The following is a 23,541-nucleotide window of genomic DNA, read 5'->3' as shown; positions in this document are numbered from 1 at the left end:
TCTTTCAGATCTTTTACAGATAGTCCTAGTCCTGGTCCAGGTGCATGTTCAAATCTCCTTCGCCTCCTGGATGAAAAATTACCTGCGTAAATGACTCACTGTGTGAATAGCTGGGCAGGGATCAGAACCCCCGTCTCCCTGCTGCCAATGTAGTGATTTTCTATACTCTTTGCTTTCCCTTGTTCAGCATGGCGTAAGGGAATCTGGATCACATTATCCCCCAGAGACCAAAATGTGAGTCGCTTTTGGCTCTTGGGGTCTTTTAGAGAAGCCACTTGGTGTAGCAGCTTTTTAGGTTTGCAGGATAAGAACTGAAGGGGCAAAGCTGGGTCAGGACAGCCTGCATTGGAGGCATGGGACCTGCTTGAACTTAGTTAGCATGTCTTTTTTGTTGTTGTGGTTGTGTTTTTTTTTTTTTTTTTTTTTTTTAGACGTAGTCTTGCATTGTCACCCAGGCTGGAGTGCAATGGCCCGATCTTGGCACACTGCAACCTCGGCCTTCCGGGTTCAAACAATTCTCCTGCCTCAGCCTCCCGAGTAGCTGGGATTACAGGTGCCCGCTACCATGCCCAGCTAATTTTTGTATTTTTAGTAGAGACAGGGTTTCACCATGTTGGCCAGGCTGGTCTCGAACTCCTGACCTTATGATCCACCCTCCTCGGCCTCCCAAAGTGCTGGGATTACAGGTGTGAGCCACCGCTCCCGGCCCAGCATGTCTTAATTCTGGGTGAAGAGTGAGGAGCAGACAGAAATAAGAATTGAGGTAGAAAAATGAGTCTCCCTAAATATTTCTGAATGCCCTCACTGGCCTGGCGAATAGGATGCATGAGAGTGCTCAGAATTAATTAAGTTCGTCTGACTTGTCTTCACCACTAGTTAAGGTGTCTCTGAGGACTTGACTTCCAGAAGGAATATTTGGAAGGAAGATTTCCACTATGGAAGAAAGCTCTAGACTAGATTTCAGGAGGTTTAGGGGACTCAAGCCAGCTGTGCCGCTTACTGGCCGTTTGACTCTGGAAAAGTCAGTTCACCTCTCTACGCTTCACTCATCATTCATTCATTTACTCTGTCATTCAATAAACATTTCTTGAACCCCTCCTGTGGGCCTGGCATGGTACTGATGCCTGAGAACTTCTAACCAGACAGCCCCTGCCGTGGAAGAACTCACCGCCTTGAGAGGGAAACAGACAAGTCCAGAGATTGTGAGTGGACTCCAAACTATTTTGGGCTGTGAACAAAAACCCCCAGAGGAACTTGTCAACAGGACCACAGTTAACTCTGTTGGAGCCTTTGTGAAAATTTGAAAAAGGCACCCCTTTTTGTGGGTGACTATAGCTCCATGGCAGGATGCCCAGCTTGGCAAGCAGAGCACAAGTGGAGATTTTTCACCCTTAGTTGTCCCCTAGGCTGGTTGCTCTTGCCTGGTGAGGCATCTGTAGCCCAGAATGTCAAGATTGAGACATAAAGGTCCAATAGAGGCTAAGTTGGAGGAGCCCACTTCAGGCTGAGGAAAAAAACTCATGCAGAAACTTCAGGCTTGGGGAGGAGTTTCTCACACTTGGGCACCTGGATGCGGTTCAGTGTGATCACAGTCAGTGGCATATGGGAAAAGTGAAGAGAGATGAGATTAGGAAGATTGGCAAGGGCTGTTTATTACTCATTCGTTAAATAAATAGATATTGAACATCATTCCAAGTTGAGTGTTGTAAACACTAGGGAAATAGCAGTGAACAAAATAGACAAAATCTTGTGCCCTTGAAAGTCTCACATTCTGGTGAGATCCTGATGGGCCTCCACCTATAGAAGGGCATATTAATTTCTGCCCAGTGTTCCTTGTAACATTGTGTGAGTCCCCAAATGAGATAATGCGTGTAAAAGCCCTCTGAGAACTGGGAACATCTGGATTATTCTTATGAATAATCACTTTTAACTTTAATCTGTGTGACCAACACTAATGCCTAAGAATTTGGAAGCCTGTTCTTGACACCAGGCACCTACCTGACCCTTCCTTCTGGGAAGAAGACACTTTTGGTCGTGATGCTGCAGGAACTGTCTGGGTCAGCTGAGATGGCTGGCTGGCCCCTGACTTCCCTGGCCTGTTTAGGAATCTACCAGCACATCCTCAGGGTATGGTACCTGTAGTGGTTAAAGGCTCTTTCTCTTCTGAGTGAAATACAGATGGAGACAAGACAGTCACTGAAAAATTATGAGCAAAAGAGAAGCTCTCTCTATGGGGTAAAAGTGGGTTGAGGGACTTCAAGAAGCCTTGTCGGGTTGTTTCCAGGTTAGGCACTGGGTCTGGCTTGATCGGTAGGTCTGATTCAGGTGAAAGGCTGGTTTCTAGGCATGGGGAACTTGGCCTCCCCCTTACTGTGAAACTTTGGGCAAACCACTTCCCCTTTCTGGACTCTAGCTCCTTCCTCTGTTAACCAGGAGGTTGCACATATTTGAACTTTAACAACAGAGCCTTTTGAACTCTCCTATAAAACCCTAGTTTATAAACTAGATTAAAGCAGTGGTGCTGTGGTTGAAGCGAGGATGGGGACCCAAGGTTCTCCTTCTTCTGCCTCCACCTTGTCCTGCCTCCTGCTCTCAGGACTTCTGTCTCCACCAGATATTGCCCTGGAGTCACTGAGAAATTTCTTATAAAACAAATGGATTAGATCGTTTTTTTTCTCTCTCTAATTGAGTTCCTTGGGCCTCCAGGCTCAGGGTAGGGGTGAGGGCAATTTAAAAGTTCTGCGGTAATTTGTATAAATTTGTGTTTACATTGAAATGATTATCCAAACCTCTTCTCATTCAATATAAAACAATCGGAATTATTTAAGGACCCTTCCCCTCGATTTCCATTTATAGACATGAGGTTTCAGCAGTCCTGTTTGAATTTGTGTTTATGGCTCTAGCAGCACCACGAAAACATCTGGAGTATTAGCATTTAACTTTCCATGTGGTGTGTTTCCCAAATTGGGAAATTAGAGAGTTTTTTTTTTCTTTAAAAGGAATGAATTTGTTAGGAGACAATGGCATAAACAAGATAGGAATTTATTTCTCTCTCAAATAAAAAGTCGAGGTAGGTGATCCAGAGCTAGAACGATGGCTCCACAATCATCAAGACCCCTGCTCTTTCCCTCATGTTGCTCTGTAGTGCTCAACACTTGACTTCCACCTTGTGATCCAAGACTGCAGCTCCAGCTCCTGCCATCAAGTCTGCATTCCATCCAGCAGGAAGGAGGAAAGGGGGAGAGCCTACTGTTTTCTTTCAGGGACAGAAGTTGCCCAAATCACTTCTTTTCACATCCTATAATTTGGTCATATGGCTACACCTAGCTGCAAGAAATCTCTTTAGCTGCAAAGTCTTGCGACCAACTAAAAATTCTATCACTATGTAAAAGAAGAGAACAGATAAAGGGGGCAAATAAAAATCTCTCCTCCAAGGTCTGTCTACTTCTCAAGCTTGAGAAACACTTATTCCTATAGTCCTTTCCAGGTATGAGATTCTGTGATGTGAGTAGAATCAAGGGCTTAAAGCTGAAGGGGATCTCAAGAGGTTAGCGAATGCAGTCTCCTTCATCAAATGGTGACAATATTACACACCCATTTTGCAGATAACTGGGGGTCCAGAGAGGTGCAGTGACTTGCCTAGGGTTAACTCAGTCAATAAATAGCAAAGGGAGAGGTGAATCTTGCATAGCTAATCACAGGAGTGGTGGAATTCTCTGGGCACCTGGAAGGGCTCTTATTTCTGTTTCTTTTATTCCCATTCTTATGAGGTCCTGGCTACTGCTTTTTGGACTATACTTTACAATTATACCATCATTTGGGGGATACACTGGACTCTGCCCTGGTGATTAGGATATTCTGAAAGGAGCACAAGCTTTGAAATCAGACATAGCTGGCTTTGAATCCTGGTTCTGCTTCTTATTATCTGTGTGGCCTGTGCGAGGCATTTCATCTGTTGGCTTTAGTTTTCTCACGTTTAAAAGGAAGGTAATATCCATCTTGCAAGTTTCTTCCATTTCTTTTTCTACCTTCTCTTCGCTTCCCTTCTTCCCTTCCTTCACTCCTCTTGTCCCTCCTTCTTCCCTCCTCTCCATCCTCCCTGTCCCTACCCCACACCTCTCTTCCCCTTCTTTCCTCTCTCCTTCTTTTCTTTCATTCATGGAATAATATCAGTGAAGGGGCCTGGTATGGAACTGAGTACATAGAAGTGTAAACCAAAGTTACTTTCCTTCCTTCCTTTCTTCCTCTTCCTTTTCTTCCATCTCTTCCTTCTCTTTCTTTCTTTCTTTCTTTCTTTCTTTCTTTCTTTCTTTCTTTCTTTCTTTCTTTCTTTCTTTCTCTTTCTCTCTTTCCAGTATTGTATGGTTTTGTATTTTTTTTTCCTACCAAGCTTAACCATAGAACCTAGAAGACTGAATACATTTAGTAGTTGGTATGCCTTAGATTTCCTTCAGAATATTTGGTGCCTGTAAATAATTTGCCCTGAGTGGTGAACTTTTACTTCCTTTTAACACTTGTGTGTACTTTTTAATCAGACAAGAGCTACAGTACTTTGTGTGTTTCCCTCTCTGATTGTCTCATCAGTAGACTCTGACGTGGCTATTTTCCCCTTTCTCTACTTGACATCTGAACTCTTTAAAATAGTTATATAAATTGCATGCCTACTGTAGGTTCTTCCCCCTTGTCTTCAGCTACAATTTTTCTGTGAGCTTGTGGAGGACAGGGAGTGTAAATCTATCTATCCGTGTAGCTTAGCTCAGGATCTGGCTGAAAAGAGGTGCTTGGTAATCTGTGCTGACTACGTATGTACACGTGTTACTGCAGATAAATTGGTGAGGGGAGGACATATCTGGAGAAGTTATCCATTCCCACCTTCACATTTTATAGATGAGGAAACTGAAGCCACCTGGAGATTAACTTCCTTTGAGCAAGGATCCTCTGTTAAACTTCTTTGTATTCATTACAGTACTTGTTAAGAACAGAGGAAGAAAGAAAGCATGGAAGCAAGGGAAAAGAAAAGAAGGAATAGAAAGAGAGAGGAAGGAAGAAAGGAAAAAGGTGGGAAACTAACAATTATTAAGCACTAAAAGTAACAGTTTTAATTAAATGCTTTTTCATTTCCTCTTGATAACACACGTGTGAAATAAATGTTATTATCGCATCTTTTGAAGGATGAAAATTGAGGTTCAGGAGGTGAAGTCACTTGTCCAAGTTCACACAGTGCATAGGAAGCAGAATGAGAAACTGGAACAAGTTCTGGGAAGTGGAAGCAAGCTCTTCTTGAATCATGAGTCAGTCACTGGCACGGTCAAGTGTGATGATTAATGAACTGAATAGAAAGCTAAATAATCCTTTTTTAAAAAAAAAGTTTTATTTTATAGATTCAGGGGTACATGTGCAGGTTTGTTATATGGATATATTGTGTAGTGGTAGGGTTTGGACTTTTAGGGTGCCTGTCACCCAAACAGTGAACATTGTACCCAACAGGTAATTTTTCAACCCTCTCTTCCTCTGACGCTTCCCCCTTTTGGAGCCCTTAGTTCTGTTATTACTCTCTAGATGTTCATGTGTACTGATTCTTTAGCTCCCACTTGTAAGTGAGAACATGCAGTATTTGGTTTTCTGTTTCTGAGTTATTTCTTTTAAGATAATTGCCTCTAGCTCCATCCATGTTGCTGCAAAAGACATGATTTCATTCTTTTTAATTGGTGGTGTAGTATTCCATGGCGTATATGTACCATATACATCTATTTTTGAGACAGAGCCTTGCTCTGTCACCCAGGGTAGAGTGCAGTGGTGTGAACTCAGCTAGCTCACTGCAGCCCTCCACCACCTGAGTTCAAGTGATTCTCCTGCCTCAGCCTCCCGACTAGCTGGGATTACAGGTGTGCACTACCAGGCCTGGTTAATTTTTGTATTTTTAGTAGAGATGGGATTTCACCATGTTGGCCAGGCTGGTCTCAAACTCCTGGCCTCAAGTGATCCACCCACATCAACCTCTCAAAGTGCTGGGATTATAGGTGTGAGCCACCGCACCCAGCCATATTTTCTTTATCAGTTCAGCTGCTGATGGACACTTAGGTTGATTCCATGACTTTGCTGTTGAGAATAGTGCTGCAATAGACATACAAATACAGGTACAAGTACTGGGTAGATACCCAGTAGTGGGGTTGTTGGGTCAAATGATAATTTTATTTTTAGTTCTTTGAGAAATCTCCATACTGTTTTTCCTAGATGTTGTACTAGTTTACTAATTTCTTCCCCACCAACAGTGTATAAACATTCCCTTTTTTCCACATCCACACCAACATCTGTTGTTTTTTGACTTTTTAATCATAGCCATTCTGACTGGTGTAAGGAATACATTTTCACAACAATAATCGCCAAGTTATATGACCTCAAGAAAGGTAGTCGCTGTCTCTGAGCCTCAGTTTCCTCTTCTGTAGTGAAAAATGGACTCTGAGTGCCGAGGTCTCTCTCAGCTCTCGGGTGCTGGGATTCAGTCTAACTCTCCCTGAATTCCTCAGCCATCATGTGAGCCATTTAAAAATGATAGATTCTTCCAGGAGGAGCGATGTCTCTTTAACTAGAATCGTCAAGGTCAGGCCAAGCAAACTTATTTGGGGTTTTTGATGGGATCGCTCTTAATTGATTGGGGTGAAGAGTTCAGAGCTAAGTTGGAGGATTGGCTTTTCAGCTCGGTGCTGGCAGAGACTGGGGCTTGACATGATTTGAGGTTGTCTAATGACAGCAATGCTCTTAAACAGCTGACGGGAGAGGCTTTCGTCCAGAACTCAGCAACGCTTTCCACTCCTTGGAGAATAAGAAGGGAGCTGCTGAACAATGAATAAATATGCTGTCTTGGTCACCAGTGAAGCCATGTCAAATTTCTGGGGCTTTCCTATCTTTTACTCAACTTACTGCCTGAAGGATTTTCGGTGTTCCTTGTGTGGATACGTGTGCATTGTTCCTTTGTTTGCTTTTCTTTCTTTCTTTTTTTTTTTTTTTGAGATGGAGTCTCTCTCTGTCGCCCAGGCTGGAGTGCAGTGGCGCGATCTCAGCTCACTGCAAGCTCCACCCCCTGGGTTCATGCCATTCTCCTGCCTCACCCTCCTGAGTAGCTGGGACAACAGGCGCCCGCCACCACGCCCGGCTAATTTTTTGTATTTTTAGTAGAGACGGGGTTTCACCATGTTAGCCAAGGTGGCCTCGATCTCCTGACCTCGTGATCTGCCTGCCTCAGCCTCCGATCTTTTTTTTTTAAAGATTTTTAAAAAAAATTCTAGGTCTGAAAACATTTCGGATCATATGAAATTTGATTTACTTTGCTCTCCAGAGTCTATGAGTGGTTTTTATCTCTTCTGATATTTGTATTTTCTTTCTCCTTATTACTCATTTAACTAAAATTTATTAATAATAGTAAGAGTTAAAATTGGGAGAACTTAACCTATCAATGGATACCAGGCACCATTGTTTCAGATATGAGGAGGTACTATATTGTTTCAATCAATAAACATTCATTGAACACCCAACAATTTCTAGACATTATTCTAGACAAGAGGCGTTCAGCAATGACGAAGGCAAAGTCTCTTTCTTCATGGGGTTTAGACTGTGGTGGGGAACACAGACAATAAGCAAGTAAACAAATATTTGGTATATTTTCAGGTTACCTAAATACATCTTCAGTGCAAAACAACCTTAACACGGCAGGTATTATAAATTCATTTTTACATATGCAGAAATACCAATGTGCAGATAATGAACTCACCTGCCCAAAGGGAGATGAGAGATTGGATTTAAATCCAGTCTTTCTAGTACATATTGAGGCTGTTGAAGCTTTTTATTGTGACACATCTTTACTGAGCCCAGAGACAGATAAAGTATGAAGCTCCGAGGCTTGAACTCCAGGGCGCTTCACTTGCATGGGACCTTTCTAAATTCACCTTATACCTAATTTTTAATCTTTTTCCCAATGAGGGCCTACCGCATTTTGTAAGCCTGGGGTAGGGAGGATGGGTCTCACAAAATCTAGATGGACCCTCACTGAGCTACAGATTCAAAGGCGTTCCAGGTTCCCTCAGAAGCCAGTGGAAGAGACAGATGTGAAAACAAATAATCTTTTTTCTTTCTTTTTTTTTTTTTTTGTGAGATGGAGTCTTGCTTTGTCACCCAGGCTGGAGTGCAATGGCACGATCTCGGCTCACTGCAGCCTCCACTTCCCAGGTTCAAGTGATTCTTGTGCCTCAGCTTCCCAAGCAGCTGGGATTACAGGTGCCCACCACTGTGCCTGGCTAATTTTTGTATTTTTAGTAGAGACGTGGTTTCGTCATGCTGGCCAGGCTGGTCTCCAACTCCTGATCTCAGGTGATCCGCCTGCCTCGGCCTCCCAAACTGCTGGGATTACAAGCGTGAGCCACTGAGCCCAGCTGAAAACAAATAAACTGAATACATAAAAATAAAAGCTATAATAGAAGTGTTACAGGCTTAATCATTCCCTTGCCCCACTTCATATGCTGAAACCCTAACTCTTAATGGGACTGCATTTGGAGATAAGGCTGTTAGAGAGATAGTTAAGGTTAAATGAGGTCACATTTAACTTTAATTATAACCCTAATTTAATAGTGCTCTTAAAATAAAAGGAAGAGGCACCAAAGACACTTGCACAAAGAAGGAAGTCCCTGTGAGGACATAGGGAGGAGGTGGCTGTCTGCAAGCCAGGAAGAGAGCCCTTAGCAGGAATTGAATTTGCTGACACCATGATCATGAACTTCTAGCCTCCAGAACTGTGAAGGAATCAATTTCTGTTGTTTAAGCTACCCAGTTTGTGTATTTTGTTTTGGCAACCCAAGCAGAGTGATACAAATCGGATGGATTTGAGGATGGGGGAAGCAATTCTGGCAGGGAAAATAACCCCAGCAAAGGTAGGGAGACTTGAGAGAACATAATATATTTGTGGAACCATAAATAATAATAGTGTATTTTTGTGGAGGATGAAGGCAGAGCAGGAATGGCTGAAAGATGAATGATGACAAGCGGGCAGGGAAAAGTCACAAAAGGCATGGCATGCCAGGCTGAAGAATTTGGGCTTTATCTGATAGGTATGGGGTGCACCTGATTTGCCTTTAAGCAGAGGGAGAGTCAGAATCCTCATGGTGGCAGAAGGGGTCTGGGTGAGAAGAGGGAGATTAATTAGGTGACTAATGTAAGAGCTCAGGTAAGAAAGCATGTGGCCCTGAAGTAGGTCATGGGGATAGAGATAGGGATATGTTTTGGAACTGGAATGAGAGCAAGGGAAAGAGAAGGGGAAGAGCTAGAACAACACATGGGTTCCTCGTTTGGGTACCTGGGGTGGATAGTGCTTGGAATATTCTGACCTATGTCTAAAATGATTTAAATATATTCATGGAATTCATTTACTTATGTTAGGACAAGAGCTTGGATTTCTCATATTTCAAAGAACTATCAAGTGGAGGTGTGCTATTCTCCTAGATCTGCAGGTCAACAGCATGCTGTGCTGTTTGGGAGCCAGCAAAGTAGAAACAGGATGGCCAGGAGGTGTGGGAGAAGATCTACTGGCAGGCTTTCCTAGCAACATTACACTTCTTAATAGGATGCTGGTTTTGCCTCGTACTTTGTTTTTTTTTTTTTTTTTTTTTTTTTTTTCAATAAACCCAAAACTTGGGTGAAGGAGGTTACAATATCTTGGAGAGAGTTGAGGTCAAACTTGGGAACTACTTGGCTTGGGGCAAAGAACACTTCTGTCTTGACCTGAGTCTTGACCCAACTTGCTGAATCATTTACTGTCTCTGGCCTCAGTCTCATCTTCTCAAAAATGAACCACTTGGGTTAAATGATCTTTAGTTTCCCTTTTAGTGTTAATATTCCATGTGCCAATGTTTAACTAACTTTTATAAAAAATGCACAGAGATTAAGAGTCAGGGGAAGATTAAGGTCTCATTTCCAAAGACAATGCCTAATTCATTCCTGAAATGACAAGCTTTAACTCCAAGTCCCATTTTATCTCAGTCTGGATGCGTAGACTCATAGAAGACACTAGAGAGGAGAGGATATTTGGAAACCATCCAGTCCAACCTCTTTATTCCACACTTAAAGAGACTGCCTTTGCACTCCAGCATGGGAAAGAAGAGTGAAACTCCATCTCAAAAAAAAAAAAAGAGACTGAGAAATGTGAAAAACATCATCCAAGGTCATACAGCTAGTTAATATCAGAGCCAGGAATCAAACCCAGGTCTCCTGACTAGGGCCACTTGGGGTACACGGCCACCAGGTTATGCCCTGCATGACTCCATACACTCCCATGTGACTGGTGCTCCCCTGGAGTTGTGTAAGGTGGAGGCCCTGCTCTTGACCCTCATTTTAGCACTCCTCTCACTCTACGTGTCTAATTGTGTAAAGTGCCTCCTCCACCCACTGAGTACCTGGGCATCCTCCTTCCTCCTTTGTACCTTCCTGGTGAAATTCTATTGATCCTTCAAAACTCAGTACAAATATTACCTCCATGACAGCTCTTTCTTCCTTTGGTACATACCTCTATGGCTGTAAATACTTAAATATCACAAAGGAATTGGTTTTTTATCTCTCCAAAGTTGACCCAATAAAGGTGTTAACCATGTCTTATCTATTTTTTATTTCCGGCAGCCTGCCCAGGTGCTTAATTAATGGCCTCGGAATTAATGGACACAACAGATAAGTGATGGAATGAATATAAAGTGAGGTCCTGGAAAATATGGAATCAAACAGAAAAGGCCTAGGAAGCCACATCCCATGAGGTGTAAATAAGACCAGGGTTTCCCTCTCATCTGGTTATTTCTTGGACCTATAGGTCATCACCCTCATTAAGGACAGCTCCCCTAAGCTGTAAGCAGGAAATGCCTTGGTATCAGGCCCAATGGCCCATATTGAACACATAATCCGTTGGCCGGTGACTCACCAATGGATTCCAGAAGGCACGGTGTGGGTGGCCTTCCTCTATCAATCAATAGTTGAGTGTCCTGGCCTGTGATTGGAGCTCCTTCTTGCCACCCAAGCTTATAGGTCTCTCAGATGCAGGCTATATGGAGACCTCTGGCCATCAGTCCTGCTCAATTTCTAACCACCCACCAGGAGACGCAGGGAAGCATCCATAAAAACTAGCTTTTATGACCACTGACACCCCCTTGAGCATGGTCATTATGATTATTTAACATTTATGAGACACCCTTGCTGCAGTGGGGGCAAAAGAAAGGCAGTTTGGCCGCTTCAACACAAGCGGATGTTTCTATATAACCCCCGAAGGTGCTCCCTCCCACCCAGATGAGTTCATTTGTAACTACATTCAGGAGCTCATAGAGGCCAGGGCAAAAGCCACTTAATGCATCTTGTATAATATTAACCCAGGCATTTCCAAGGAACCTCAGTCAACCAAAAACCAACAGAGGAGATGGGCAATTAATCGGATTTTGAGTTGTGCACTTCTATTGATTTGTTCTCTGAGTGAGGTTGATGTGCAAAGTCTTTTATTCTTTCTTTCTCTCTCAGTAAAATATATAGACTTCTGACTTGATGGTAGACCCTGTGTCTGGGCTTGGCATTGTCTAGACAAATAAGGCAAGCTGTGCCCCCAGAGAACTCAAATTTGTGGAGAAAATAGGCATGAAAACAAAACTATTATTACAGCTGATGCATAAGAGCCAAGTTCATAGAAAAGTGGAGGTCTAGAGGAGGGGGTGGTCAACTCACCACTGGGCAGGGGCAGGTTAGGAAGGATTTGCGAGAGGAAAAGCTCAAATGGTGTTTGATGGATGATGACAGTTTGGGGGTGTGTGGTTGTGGAACTTGCTGGCAGAGGGAATGACTAAGCAAAGGTATGGGAGGGTGAATGGTGTGGCCTGTTCAGGGAACCCTAAACCAGGCAGACAGGCTGGAACCCACAGTGTGAGGGGATGAAGTCTTGCCCATCATTGAAGAAGGGTGGCCATGCCTGCTGCATTTGGAAACACTGGTCACTTCTTGGAATGCACTCCTCCCCTGGTTTGGAGTGCACTCCCCTCAATGGAGCAGCTCCTACCTCTCTGGATGCTTCCCCTCTGTTGTTTGTACGAGATTGTCTTTCTCTGCCCACTCTTTAATACCAGTGTTCCTCAGGGTTCCCTCCACGGTTTTTCTCACTCTAGACTCCTCTCTAGGAATTTTTCCACAGCAGCGATACCCCAAATGACATATCTCATCCAGATGAGCTCTATCCTGAACTCCAGATGTGTACATGGATCCAGCTAGTGGACATCTCTACCTGATAGGAGTGGCCATCTGCTCCCTAAACTTTCATGCATTCTCTACTTCCCATGCTTATGGAAAGCATTCATGGCCGGGCGCGGTGGCTCACGCCTGTAATCCCAGCATGTTGGGAGGCCGAGGTGAGTGGATCACCTGAGGTCAGGAGTTTGAGACCACCCTGGCCAACATGGTGAAACCTCATCTCTACTAAAAATACAAAAAAATTAGCTGGGTGTGGTGGCAGGTGCCTGCAATCCCAGCTACTCAGGAGGCTGAGGCAGGAGAATCACTGGAACCTGGGAGGCGGAGGTTGCAGAGAGATGAGATCATGCCATTGCACTCCAGCCTGGGCAATAAAGCGGGACTCCATCTCAAAAAAAAAAAAAAAAAAACAAAAGAAGTAGAAGAAAGAAAGAAGAGCATTCATATCCAGCTATTCACTGTATCCTCAAACATCAAGTTATCCTAGACTCTACACTTTCCCTCATAGGTTACACCAAGTCTATCAACCATTCATTCACTCATTCCATATTTATTTAATTCTTCCTTTTGCCAGGGCTTTGGCTAACAGCAGGTGATATAGAGATGAGTGAAACAGAGTCCTGGCCCTTGAGGAGCTCACAGTCAAATGGGAACAAATGCACATGAACAGGTGGCTGTCACTCTTGGTGCACAGTGCAGCAACAGAGGACCATGGGAAAAGACACCTACACCAACGATGGTGGGTGGGGTGGGGTGACAGAGGTCGAGCAAAGCTCCCTCAAGCAGGTGATGCCTGTGCTGATCCTCAAAGGATGAGTAGGAGTTTGGCAGGGCAACAAGGGGTGTGAGATGGTGAGGAAAGGGAGGCATTCCAGGGAAAGGGAATAACATGAGGCAATGAATGGGGGTGATACATGGTTTCTCTCCTGCAGCTCTGACTTGCGTTTAATTACAAGCAAGTCAGAGCTGCAGGAGAGAAAAATGAAATGCAGAAGTGGCTGGGGATGAGGAGAGGAGATTGAATGATGTAGGGCCTTGTGTTCCCTGATAAAGAGTTTGGATTTATCCCATTGGAAATAGTGATCCAACAATTTGAGCAGGGACTGATTTGACCAGGTTAATTGTTGCAGGAAGATCATGATAACAGGTAAAGAAGGTTGGCAAGGGAAGCAGGGCTGGCTGCAATTAGAAGGCCCAGAGAGCGAGGAACAGGCCTAAACTAGGGCAGGTGCTGCAGGGAGATTACAGGAAGTGATATTGGCGAGTGATACTGGGAAGACATTTCTCAAGTAGAGTCGGCTGCTTTTGCTCATCATTTGAATGTAGGAATGACACAGAGGTAGAATAAAGATAGTGAGGTTTTTTTCTAGCTGAATGACAGGTGAAAATCAGTGTGGTTTACTGAAAACACAGGTGTGGAAACAAGCTGAGCATGATGAGTGAGTACCTTTAATTTTAAACCAGTTTTGAGATATTATACCCCAGAATGCTTTGTAAGCTTGAAGGATGTTTTTCACACAGGGAATGGGGCTGACTGCAGCTCCTGGATCTGACCTTGTCCTCTGGGGGTTGAATCCATACCCTTGAAGTGGGGACAAAAGCTCAGGGCAGACCGTAGACTATTAAGCAACGTGGACAGCCAGGATCGAAGTCACAGGGACTGTCAGACTGAGAGGAGCCTTTGGTAACTTTGCAGGCCGGCTGTGCTGGGCCTCCTGCGCTCTGCCTCTTCCCGCTAGGAATGCTGGGATGTTTAGGTTACACAACAAATCCCCCTCTACACCAGAAGGGGGAGGAACCTTTTGAACTCTGCCCATCCGTGCCTTCATTCCCCTCCACTTCCACGTGCTTCTCATTAAACGACTGATAGAAGGGGCTGGGGTTGTTGGTAGATTTATCATCACTCTGTCCTCCTCCAACTCAATCCTCCAGAAGAGCTTATGGTCTTAAAGGAAAAGGGGCTTTGAAGAATAAAGTGCAGCTATCAGGGAAAAATGGATTTTAGGGCTATGTCTAGATATTGGTTTCCTTTTCTTTCTCTTTTTGCCTCTTTATTTTGTTTTAAAGGGCAGGTGTTTTCTGGTGTTTTGGGGCAGAACAGCATCTCTGGTATTTCTTTGGAGCTAGTGAAATCCTGAGACACCTCTTCCTGGTCTGGTGGAGGTTGGACTAGATGAAGTTGAAGGTCCTCTCGGTCCTGAGCATCTAAGATACGGTTCTAGGCGTCAGTTAGTTGAGGAGGCACCACATGCTCTATGTGACTGCTTTGAGACCCTGGGAAATTCATTTTACCTCTCTAAATCTAGATTTTCTGATTTTTCAAATGAGGACAATTATCCTGTGTGTATACATTGTAGGCTGTTGTGAGGATCAAATGGAAATGTTAAAGTTTAGTCTGTAAAAGGCTATGTGCTTCCAAGGAACTTGCACCTAACTGGTGACTTTACCCAGACATCTGCTTCACCAGTTTATGCCAGTTGAACTGTGCCTGGAGGCCTAGAACTTGGGCAGTGTGTAAATAACCAGGACCCATCTTCATGGGGACCCAGATCTCCTCATCTGTACCATAAGTCTAATAGTAACTATCTTATAAGGCTGTAGTGAGTAATAAATAACATAATTCCACCCGCCTCTTCTTCCATCCATCTGTCCATCTGTCAATCTATGTATCTATGTATCTATCTATCTATCTATCTATCTATCTATCTATCCATCCATCCACCCATAGATTTGTGTTGAACCTTGTTCTTTACCCTTGTTTCTATGCTGAGTTCTGGGGATACAAAAATAAGACATGATCCTGTCCTCTAGGAAAGCACAATCCAGGCACAGAGATACGAAACCAACCAAAAAGTTATAAAAGAACATGAGAATTCAGGGAAACACCTCCATTGGAGGTATGGGAGATCCCAAGGGAGAGTAGCATTTAGATTAGCCTGGGGGCCTGGGGGCTGTCGTCGAAGGCTCCTTACAGGAGATGGCACCTGAGCTGAGACTTTTTAATTGTAATTTAAAATTTATGTGGGTATGTAGGAGGTGTATATATTTATGGGGTATACTAGATGTTCTGATACAGACATGCAATGTGAAATAAGAACACCGTGGAGAATGGGGTGTCCATCCCCTCAAGCATTTATCCTTTGAGTTACAAACAATCCACTTACACTCTTAAGTTATTTAAAAGTATATAATTAAGTTATTGTTGACTAGAGTCACCCTATTGTGCTATCAAATAGTAGGTCTTATTCATTCTTTCTAATTTTTTTTTTTTTTGGTACCCACTGAACTGAGACCTGAAGGATGAGTCGGCCAGGTGTGGGGCTTGGCAGGGCATCGGAAAAGTGAACCACTGTTCAGGAAAAAGGGCTGGCATAGAATGTTCTTCCTCCATAACTTCACATGGCTTGCCTCTGACTTCTTCCAGGCCTTTGCTCAAAATGTCGTCTCATTATAGGCATTTTCTCTATGCACCCTGGTCACACACTCCATCCTTTTACTTTGCTTTAGTGTCCTTTTTATCACTGAAATCATACTATATACACTTTGTGTACTTATAGTCTGTCTTCCCTATTGAAACGTAAGCTCTATGTGGACAGGGACCTTATCTGTCTTGTTTAGTGCGATATCCCTGTCACTTAGGATCTGACAGTGTATTGGTTTGTTAGGGCTGACGTAATAAGGTGCTATAGACTGTGTGGCTCAAACAGCAGAAATTTATTGTTTCATAGTTCTTGTATTAGTCAGGGTTCTCTAGTGGGGCAGAACTAATAGGATAGATGTATATGTGAAAGGGAGTTCATTAAGGAGAATTGACTCACAAGATCACAAGGTGAAGTCCCACAGTAGGCCATCTGCAAGCTGAGGAGCAAAGAAGCCAGTCCGAGTCCCAAAACTTCAAAGTAGGGAAGATGACTGTGCAGTCTTCAGTCTGTGGCCAAAGGTCCAAGAGCCCCTGGCAAACCACTGGTGTAGGTCCAAGAGTCTAAAAGCTGAAGAACTTGGAGTCTGATGTTCAAGGGCAGAAAGCATTCAGCATGGGAGAAAGATGAAGCCTGGGAGACTCAGCAAGTCTGCCTCTTCCACATTCTTCTGCCTGCTTTATTCTAGCCTTGCTGGTAGCTGATTAGATGGTGCCCACCCAGATCAATGGTGGGTCTGCCTCTCCCATTCCACTGACTCAAATGTTATTCTCCTTTGGCATCACCCTAACAGACACACCCAGGAACAATACTTTGCATCCTTCAGTTCAATCAAGTTGACACTCAATATTAACTGTCACGGTTCTGGAAGCTAGAAGTCCAAGATCAAGGTGTGGGCAGGGCTGGTTTCTTCTAGGGGCCATGAGGGAGACTCTGTTCCTTGCCTCCCTCCTAGCTCCTAGTGGTTCCTTCAGTGTTCCTTGGCTTATAGTCACATTACTCCACTCTCTGCCTTCATCTTCACATTGACATTTCACCTGTGAGTGTGTGTCTATGTTCAAATTTCCCTTCTTATAAAGTCACAATTCATATGGAATTAGGGGCCCAGCATATTTCATTTTATTGCACCTGCAATGACTGTGTTTCCAAATAAGATCATGCTCTGAGATATCAGGTGTTAAGACTCCAGCATATGAATGCTGGAGGGACACAATTCAACCCATAAGCGACACATAGTAAATATGTCTGTTGAATGGAGGAATGAATGGCAAAGGCACGGAGGCAAGAACTAGCATGGAGCCTGTAGAGGGCTCTGGGTTGTTTGGGATTCTTGGCTCAAAAAGAGCAAGGCAGGGAGTGGTGAGGGCTGACACCTGGAGGTGTATGTAGCGCCTCCTTGGCACATGGGGAGCACTCAGATGGTAGCTGCTACAATTTTCATTTTTACTTGTCATTAGGTGAATGCATGACTCTCTCTGGGGCAATGCATCCCTGTTCCTAGAAGACTCAGTTCACAGCAAGCGGGGCTGACCTGTCAGCAATTTGGGCTGGCGTCATCCTGTTTTCCAAAAGCCACGTGTTCACCAGCTTACTCAGCAGGTCCTTGAGGCACACATCTTGTACGGAGGCCTTCTAACCTGGTCGCTGTTCCTTTATACTCCAACAATAGGTTGTATTCTGCCCACTGATAAATAGTCTGTTATTCATGAGCTGAGATCAGGGAAGGGTTGGTGGGAGTTCCGGAATGTTTCCTTTAGGGTCATAACCACTGACACACAATTTCTGACTAATAACCCTTGTGATACAGCATGGGCAAGGTAACAACATAAATAGCAAAGGAAACCGAGATTAATGTGGAAATGTCCCTGGATATCAGGATAGGAAGTTGCGAAGGAGCCAAGGGGGCTCCTTGGAGAATGAGCTGGAAGTCGGGAGAGATAACCTAATGGTGGAGTGAAAAAGGGGCTCTGGTGTTGACACAGCCTGACATGAATCCAGCCTCTTCCTCCTATTAGCTGTGGGATCTGAGGCAAGTCACCTTCCCACTGTGAATCAGTTTCCCCTGCTCAAAGGTGGGAATAATATAACCCATTGTGAAAATGGGAGAATGCATGAGAATTTAACATAGGGCCTGGCATTTGAAGGAGCTCAATGCATGGTAACAGTCATAATAACAGCTCACACCAATGGAGGGATTATAATGGGCAAGGCATTATTCCAATTGCTCACCCATGAGGTCGGCGCATCATAAAACTCTTTTTGCAGTTGACAAAACAAGTTTGGAGGGTTTAAGTAAAAGCCTAAAATCACATGGTTACTAAGTGGTGGAGCTGAGATTCCAACTCAGGCAGTCTATGCTAAGAGCTTGTGCATTTAACTGTTATGCTAGGTAGTTGTAGCCATAATTATAATTGATGTGAATGTTCACTAGCTACAAGGTAAACATTTGGGGCTTTTTCAGTCAAGAAAACTGGAAACAAGCTAAATAATAAAAGTGATTAAAAGTTATTAAACAATTCTCAGGTTCCAGGTTATAAAAATACTTAGATTATCTCAATAATGCTCATGTTTGGCCTGGAAAAGATGTATTCTCACCTGCATTTTAGAAACAAGGAAACTAAGACTCAGAAATATGGCACAGCTAAGATTCAAATCCAAATCTGTTTGAGTTCAAAGCCCAGCCTCTCTCCATCATACCTGCTGCCTCCAGGAAATTAGCTAGAGGTCACCTTCTAGGGGCTGCATGACATCCCAGAGCAGGGATGACTAATACCTGGGAGGCTTTTCCTGACTTGCGTCAGAGCTGACAGGGACGGAGAACCATGAACAAGTTCCCAGCATAGTGGGTCCAAAATGAGTAACAAATCAGACGCCCAAAGGAAGTTTAAAAGGCAATAGGAAAAATACTACTGGGATCTGATGGACCATGGAGTGCAGAGGAAACATAGCAGAGCAAGGAAGATGGATAGGAGAGCCTATATTTAAAACTGGCTCGACGTAAGGAAGGAAGCGATCGACCTAATTTTAGAAAGACTCAGACTCTGAGGCTCCTAAGGTATGAGACGTGGAAACTCGGGTGAGGATTATTTATCATTTATCAGCCTTGGCTTCCAGAGGAGGGGTTGGGGCTGATTCAGCTGAAAAGCATCCCCCATGGGCTTTGAAGTCAGATAGATCTAGGGTCGAGCTGAACTTGGCTGAGTGACTAATTTCACCAGTCTGAGCCTTGGTTTCCTCATCTATAATATGGGGCAATAGTATCTACCCAATAGCGTTTTTTTCCCCAGAGTTAAATGAGAAAATATAGAAAGGGTCTAATAAATTACGTGGCCCAGATGGATACTCAATTAATGTCATTGAATGAATCTTCATGGAGAGAGCACATGTTTATAAAAAAAAGTCTTCAGTGAATCATGATAAGAGTATTGCCAATGGTCTCTAATTTCTTTAGATTAGAAAAGAGGTTTTCATGTTGCTTGCATTTGGTCTTTTCCTTATTTAATGTCTGCCACACTCTGAAGACTTTAAGAATGTTTAATAATTGAATGATTCTGTATTTATATACTCAAACCCTGGCATAAAATATTCTTGCTAATTACATAATGCACTCTGGTTTACATTATAGGACTTTTGGGTTTTTTTTTTTTTAACACCATAATCTCTTTTTTTCTTCAAAATTGAGATAGCTTTATTTATTTTTTCCTGGTTCTAAGAATAATAAAATTTTGTTGAATTTTTTTTTTTTTTTTTTTTTTTTAGTCAGAGTCTTGCTCTGTAGTCCAGACTGCAGTGCAATAGCACAATCTCAGCTTACTGCAACCTCTCCCTCCTGGGTTCAAGCGATTCCCCTGCCTCAGCCTCCTGAGTAGCTGGGATTACAGGTGTACATACCCTCGGCTAATCTTTGTATTTTTCGTAGAGATGGGGTTTCACTATATTGGCCAGGCTGGTCTCGAACTCCTCACCTCAAGTGATCCCCCTGCCTCAGCCTCCCAAAGTGCTTGGATTACAGGTGTAAGCCACCATGCCCGGCCAAAAATAATTTATGAACTCACTGTGCTATGAAGTAGAAAGTGAAAGAATACCCTCTAATTTGACTTCCTAGATATAACCATCTTTTATGCATATATGCTTTTAGATTTTATTCTATACTCATATAAGCACATATGTTGCATTGCCTTCTACACACACTCACACACACACACATTTAGTGCAGTCTTGACTTTTAGCTGAATACATTGCCGCCTAAAATAAAGACAACATGTCCTAGCCTCCCCTTCAGCTAGATGTGTCCATGTGGTTAATATCTGGCCGTTGACAGAACAGAAGACATGTTGTGGAGCACCATAGAAGTAGCTTTCTTGGATGAGAGGTGTGTCTTTTTATGCTTTTTTTTGCCCTCTTTCTTCTGGACTACAGAACAGATGTGAAGCAATCAACTTTTTTTTTTTTTTTTTTTCTTGAGATGGAGTTTCGCTCTTGTTGTCCAAGCTGGAGTGCAATAGCTCAGTCTCGGCTCACTGCAATCCACGACTCCCAGGTTCAAGCGATTCTCCTGCCTCAGCCTCCTGACTAGCTGTGATTACAGTCATGCACCACCACACCCAGCTTATTTTGTGTTTTTAGTAGAGATGGGGTTTCTCCATGTTGGTCAGGCTGGTCTCGAACTCCCGACCTCAGGTGATCTGCCCACCTCAGCCTCCCAAAATGCTGGGATTATAGACTGAGCCACTGCACCCAGCCTGAAGCAATCATCTTAAGCCATGAAGTGACCCTGAGGAGGCAACCACACACTGGACACCGAGGGAAAGGCACATGAATCATGATAACTTAATGGAATAGCCATGCCAGACCTGATTGACCTTCCTCAGGCCTTCCTTATCACTGGAGAATAATCCTCTGTGATTTTATGTCACTGCGGTCAGGTCTTCTATGACTTGTACTTGGTACTTGGATACAATCTCTAAATGATACACAGTCCTCCTGCCCTCTTAAATTAAATTTGTATTATAGATATTTTCCACTGTCAATGCATAAAAAATCTACCATATTCTTTTTAATAACATAATATTCATAATAGTCCATTGCAAGGATTTATCAAAATTTACTCAATTCTTTATTGACAAAACTCAAAATTTCTTTAGAAATTATAAACACTGTGGTATAGAAATCTTTGTGCACAATTTAATATTCTCTTAGGATAAGAAGAGGAATTTTAAGGCTAAAAGATTTGTGCATTTTAAATGGATAGGTATTGCCAAATTGTCTCTAGAAAAGTTGTTCCAAGCTATACTTCTTAGGTAGAATTATATATTTATGTAATTACACATATATATGTTATACATTCAAAGCATGAAGAATAGCATAAGAAATGTGGTATGCCTTAAGGCCGGGCGCGGTGGCTTACGCCTGTAATCCCGGCACTTTGGGAGGCTGAGGCGGGCGGATCACGAGGTCAGGAGATCAAGACCATCCTGGCTAACACGATGAAACCCCGTCTCTACTAAAAATACAAAACATTATCCTGGCGTGGTGGTGGGTGCCTGTAGTCCCAGCTACTCGGAGGGCTGAGGCAGGAGAATGGCGTGAACCCGGGAGGCGGAGCTTGCAGTGAGCCGAGATGGCGCCACTGCACTCCAGCCTGGGCGACAGAGCAAGACTCTATCTCAATAAATAAATAAATAAATAAGTTTGGTACGCCCACTATCCAGTTGAAGAAATAGAACATTTCCACAGCCCTTCTGAAAAGTCCTGTGCACCAACCCTCATCAACCAGCAGGCTAGTATCTCTTTGGCTCTTTCGACAACCCTTGAAGCGAGTGGAACTCTTTCACGAGCAAGTGATAGACAACAGTGATAGATAACGCACACCCCTGCTCTGCAAAAGAATGTATCAGTTCATACAGTTTCGAGATCCTGGGCTGGGACTGGCTGGAGGGGTCTCACATGATCTCTCTTCCTCTCTCAGGACTCCTTTCTTCCATGTTGGCTTCAGTCTCAGTTTCCACATAGCACCAGGATGGGCCAGCAGCTCCAGGCCTGCATTCCCCAGGTTTATATCTAGAGGAAAAAAATACTGCATCTTCCCTTTAGCTCCCACACACGACCTGGCTTCACTCTGATTAGATTAACCAGAGTACCGAGCCAGTCCTGAGCATACTAGCTCCCACTATGGCTTTGTCATCTGGAGTCTATCAAAGCCTTTCTGATGCTAATTTATACTTTCTGCCTGTATTGGAATAACAAACCCCGGGAGTTAACTACTTTTTTTTGTAATGCACTCCCTGGTAGAGGACAGTACAGAGATAATGTCTGCTAACATTTACTGAGTGCTGTAAAGTCCCGGATGCCTCACCTTATTCAATCTGCCTAATGTCTCTGCAAGGTGTGTATAATGCCCATTTTATAAATGAGGAAAGTAGAGAAGATAAGTAACTTTGAGCTCACATGTGTGTGTTGAGGCTGGGATCCAGCCCCAGGTTGACCTCACTCCAATGTCTAGTGGCCACGCGGCAGGCCACATGGCCTCCCTTGCAATAGGCATGTGTTTACCTCACAGGGCTGTTGAAAATGTCACATGAAAACACTGTGTCAGCTGAAGCACTTCACAAACATCAGTTCACCGAACTCACTGATATGCCCTAGATTTACCTCCTTCGAGCCCCCAGGGGGAAAGGAAGAGGACAGATTGGTCACTGGCCTTGTCATCCTGAGATCAAAAAATTAAGCAGGGGAAGAAAGAGACAAATTATTCCCCGAACTGTTTTTCTGTATTTCTACAAAGGCTGTTTACAACTCTTCAGGATTTTAAGAATTATACAAACCACTTTTAAAAGAACTATGTACTCTAGACAAACAAGGTGCTGGGAGGACCCTGTGAGGGGTGGTAGAAAGAATTAGAATTCAGAGTGGACAGATCTGGGTTCCAGCCCTGCCTCTGGCCATTGCTGGCCCTACTGTGTGCCTTGGAGCATGGCCCAGTCTTCTTGCTGGCCTCAGTTTCCCCATTGGTTCAACAAGGGGTTTGAATAGAGACATTTCCCATCCTGAAGTTTTTCATCTGTAGAATAAATATGGGGTGGGGGTGATGAGGAGGTGATAGTGGCCCCAGGCTCACCAGGTTATCATCTCTGAAGGTTTCAGAGAAAAAAGAAAGTATCTTCCATTGACATTAGAACAACCTCCTTGTGGGCTGAGGAGGAGCTGAGGAATGGGACCCTAGGGGGTTTCCTGCCTCTGGAAATATTTGGCTTTGGTTATTCCCCAGTCAAAAGCTTTGTGACTCCTGCAAGGAGTTGCTTGGAGTACATGGCCAAGCTCCAGTTTGGATGTGAGGAATATAGGTCATTAGTAAGAGATTTTAATGTCCCGTAAACTGGCTTCCTGGAGGGGAGTGCTCACTCCAGTATAATTGAGCTGTTAGTGAGAAACTCAGCCTGTTTGCAGCCAAGGACATGCAGAGTTTGGGGAGAGAGTCCTGGGGAAGTGCAGTGTCAGGAGATGAGATGAGCACTGGCCTGGGAGTCAGGGGCTGTATTCCAGGCTCTGTCACTGACCCGGGCAAGTCACTCACTTCTTCTCCCTGGGCCTCATTTTCTTTGTTTTCAAAATGAGGGGTAGTATTGAATGTGCTTTGGGGCTTTCCAGTTCAGACAAAAAGCATATGAGGAGGTTAAGCCAACAGATGCTGGAGCCACCCTGCCTGAATTCTGATCCAGCCCTGCTACTCACTGTCTTTGTGTCCTTGGGTGATTTATTTTAACTCTCTGCACTTCAGTTTTCTCATCTGTAGAATGGGAATAGACTCACCACATGTGGTTTTGTAACAATTAAATGTAAAGCACTTAAAATAATGCCTGGCATAAAG

The 23,541-nt window shown here is 43.7% G+C and overlaps 1 long non-coding RNA gene across 3 annotated transcripts in view, besides 4 other annotated features; it reads left to right on the top strand.

The window, feature by feature from the left end:
• The window catches only part of LOC124904185 (uncharacterized), a 74,169-nt gene that overhangs the window by 8,900 nt on the left and 41,728 nt on the right, over positions 1–23,541 (top strand). The window lies entirely within an intron of this gene.
• Positions 13,745–14,039: an enhancer, noted in NCBI's record as "tiled region #2463; HepG2 Activating DNase matched - State 5:Enh". NCBI's record gives its function as "activates a minimal TATA promoter and a strong SV40 promoter by Sharpr-MPRA in HepG2 cells {active_cell/tissue: HepG2}" and the evidence as "EXISTENCE:reporter gene assay evidence [ECO:0000049][PMID:27701403]".
• Positions 21,358–22,033: an enhancer, noted in NCBI's record as "OCT4-NANOG-H3K27ac-H3K4me1 hESC enhancer chr1:56919075-56919750 (GRCh37/hg19 assembly coordinates)". NCBI's record gives its function as "activates a minimal SCP1, AML or CMV promoter by ChIP-STARR-seq in primed H9 embryonic stem cells {active_cell/tissue: H9 hESC(primed)}" and the evidence as "EXISTENCE:reporter gene assay evidence [ECO:0000049][PMID:30033119]".
• Positions 22,034–22,709: an enhancer, noted in NCBI's record as "OCT4-NANOG-H3K27ac hESC enhancer chr1:56918399-56919074 (GRCh37/hg19 assembly coordinates)". NCBI's record gives its function as "activates a minimal SCP1, AML or CMV promoter by ChIP-STARR-seq in primed H9 embryonic stem cells {active_cell/tissue: H9 hESC(primed)}" and the evidence as "EXISTENCE:reporter gene assay evidence [ECO:0000049][PMID:30033119]".
• Positions 22,710–23,385: an enhancer, noted in NCBI's record as "H3K27ac hESC enhancer chr1:56917723-56918398 (GRCh37/hg19 assembly coordinates)". NCBI's record gives its function as "activates a minimal SCP1, AML or CMV promoter by ChIP-STARR-seq in naive H9 embryonic stem cells {active_cell/tissue: H9 hESC(naive)}" and the evidence as "EXISTENCE:reporter gene assay evidence [ECO:0000049][PMID:30033119]".

This window comes from Homo sapiens, chromosome 1 (genome assembly GCF_000001405.40).
Source record: "Homo sapiens chromosome 1, GRCh38.p14 Primary Assembly".
NCBI lineage: Eukaryota > Metazoa > Chordata > Mammalia > Primates > Hominidae > Homo > Homo sapiens.
This window is presented reverse-complemented; position numbering and strand designations above follow the sequence as displayed.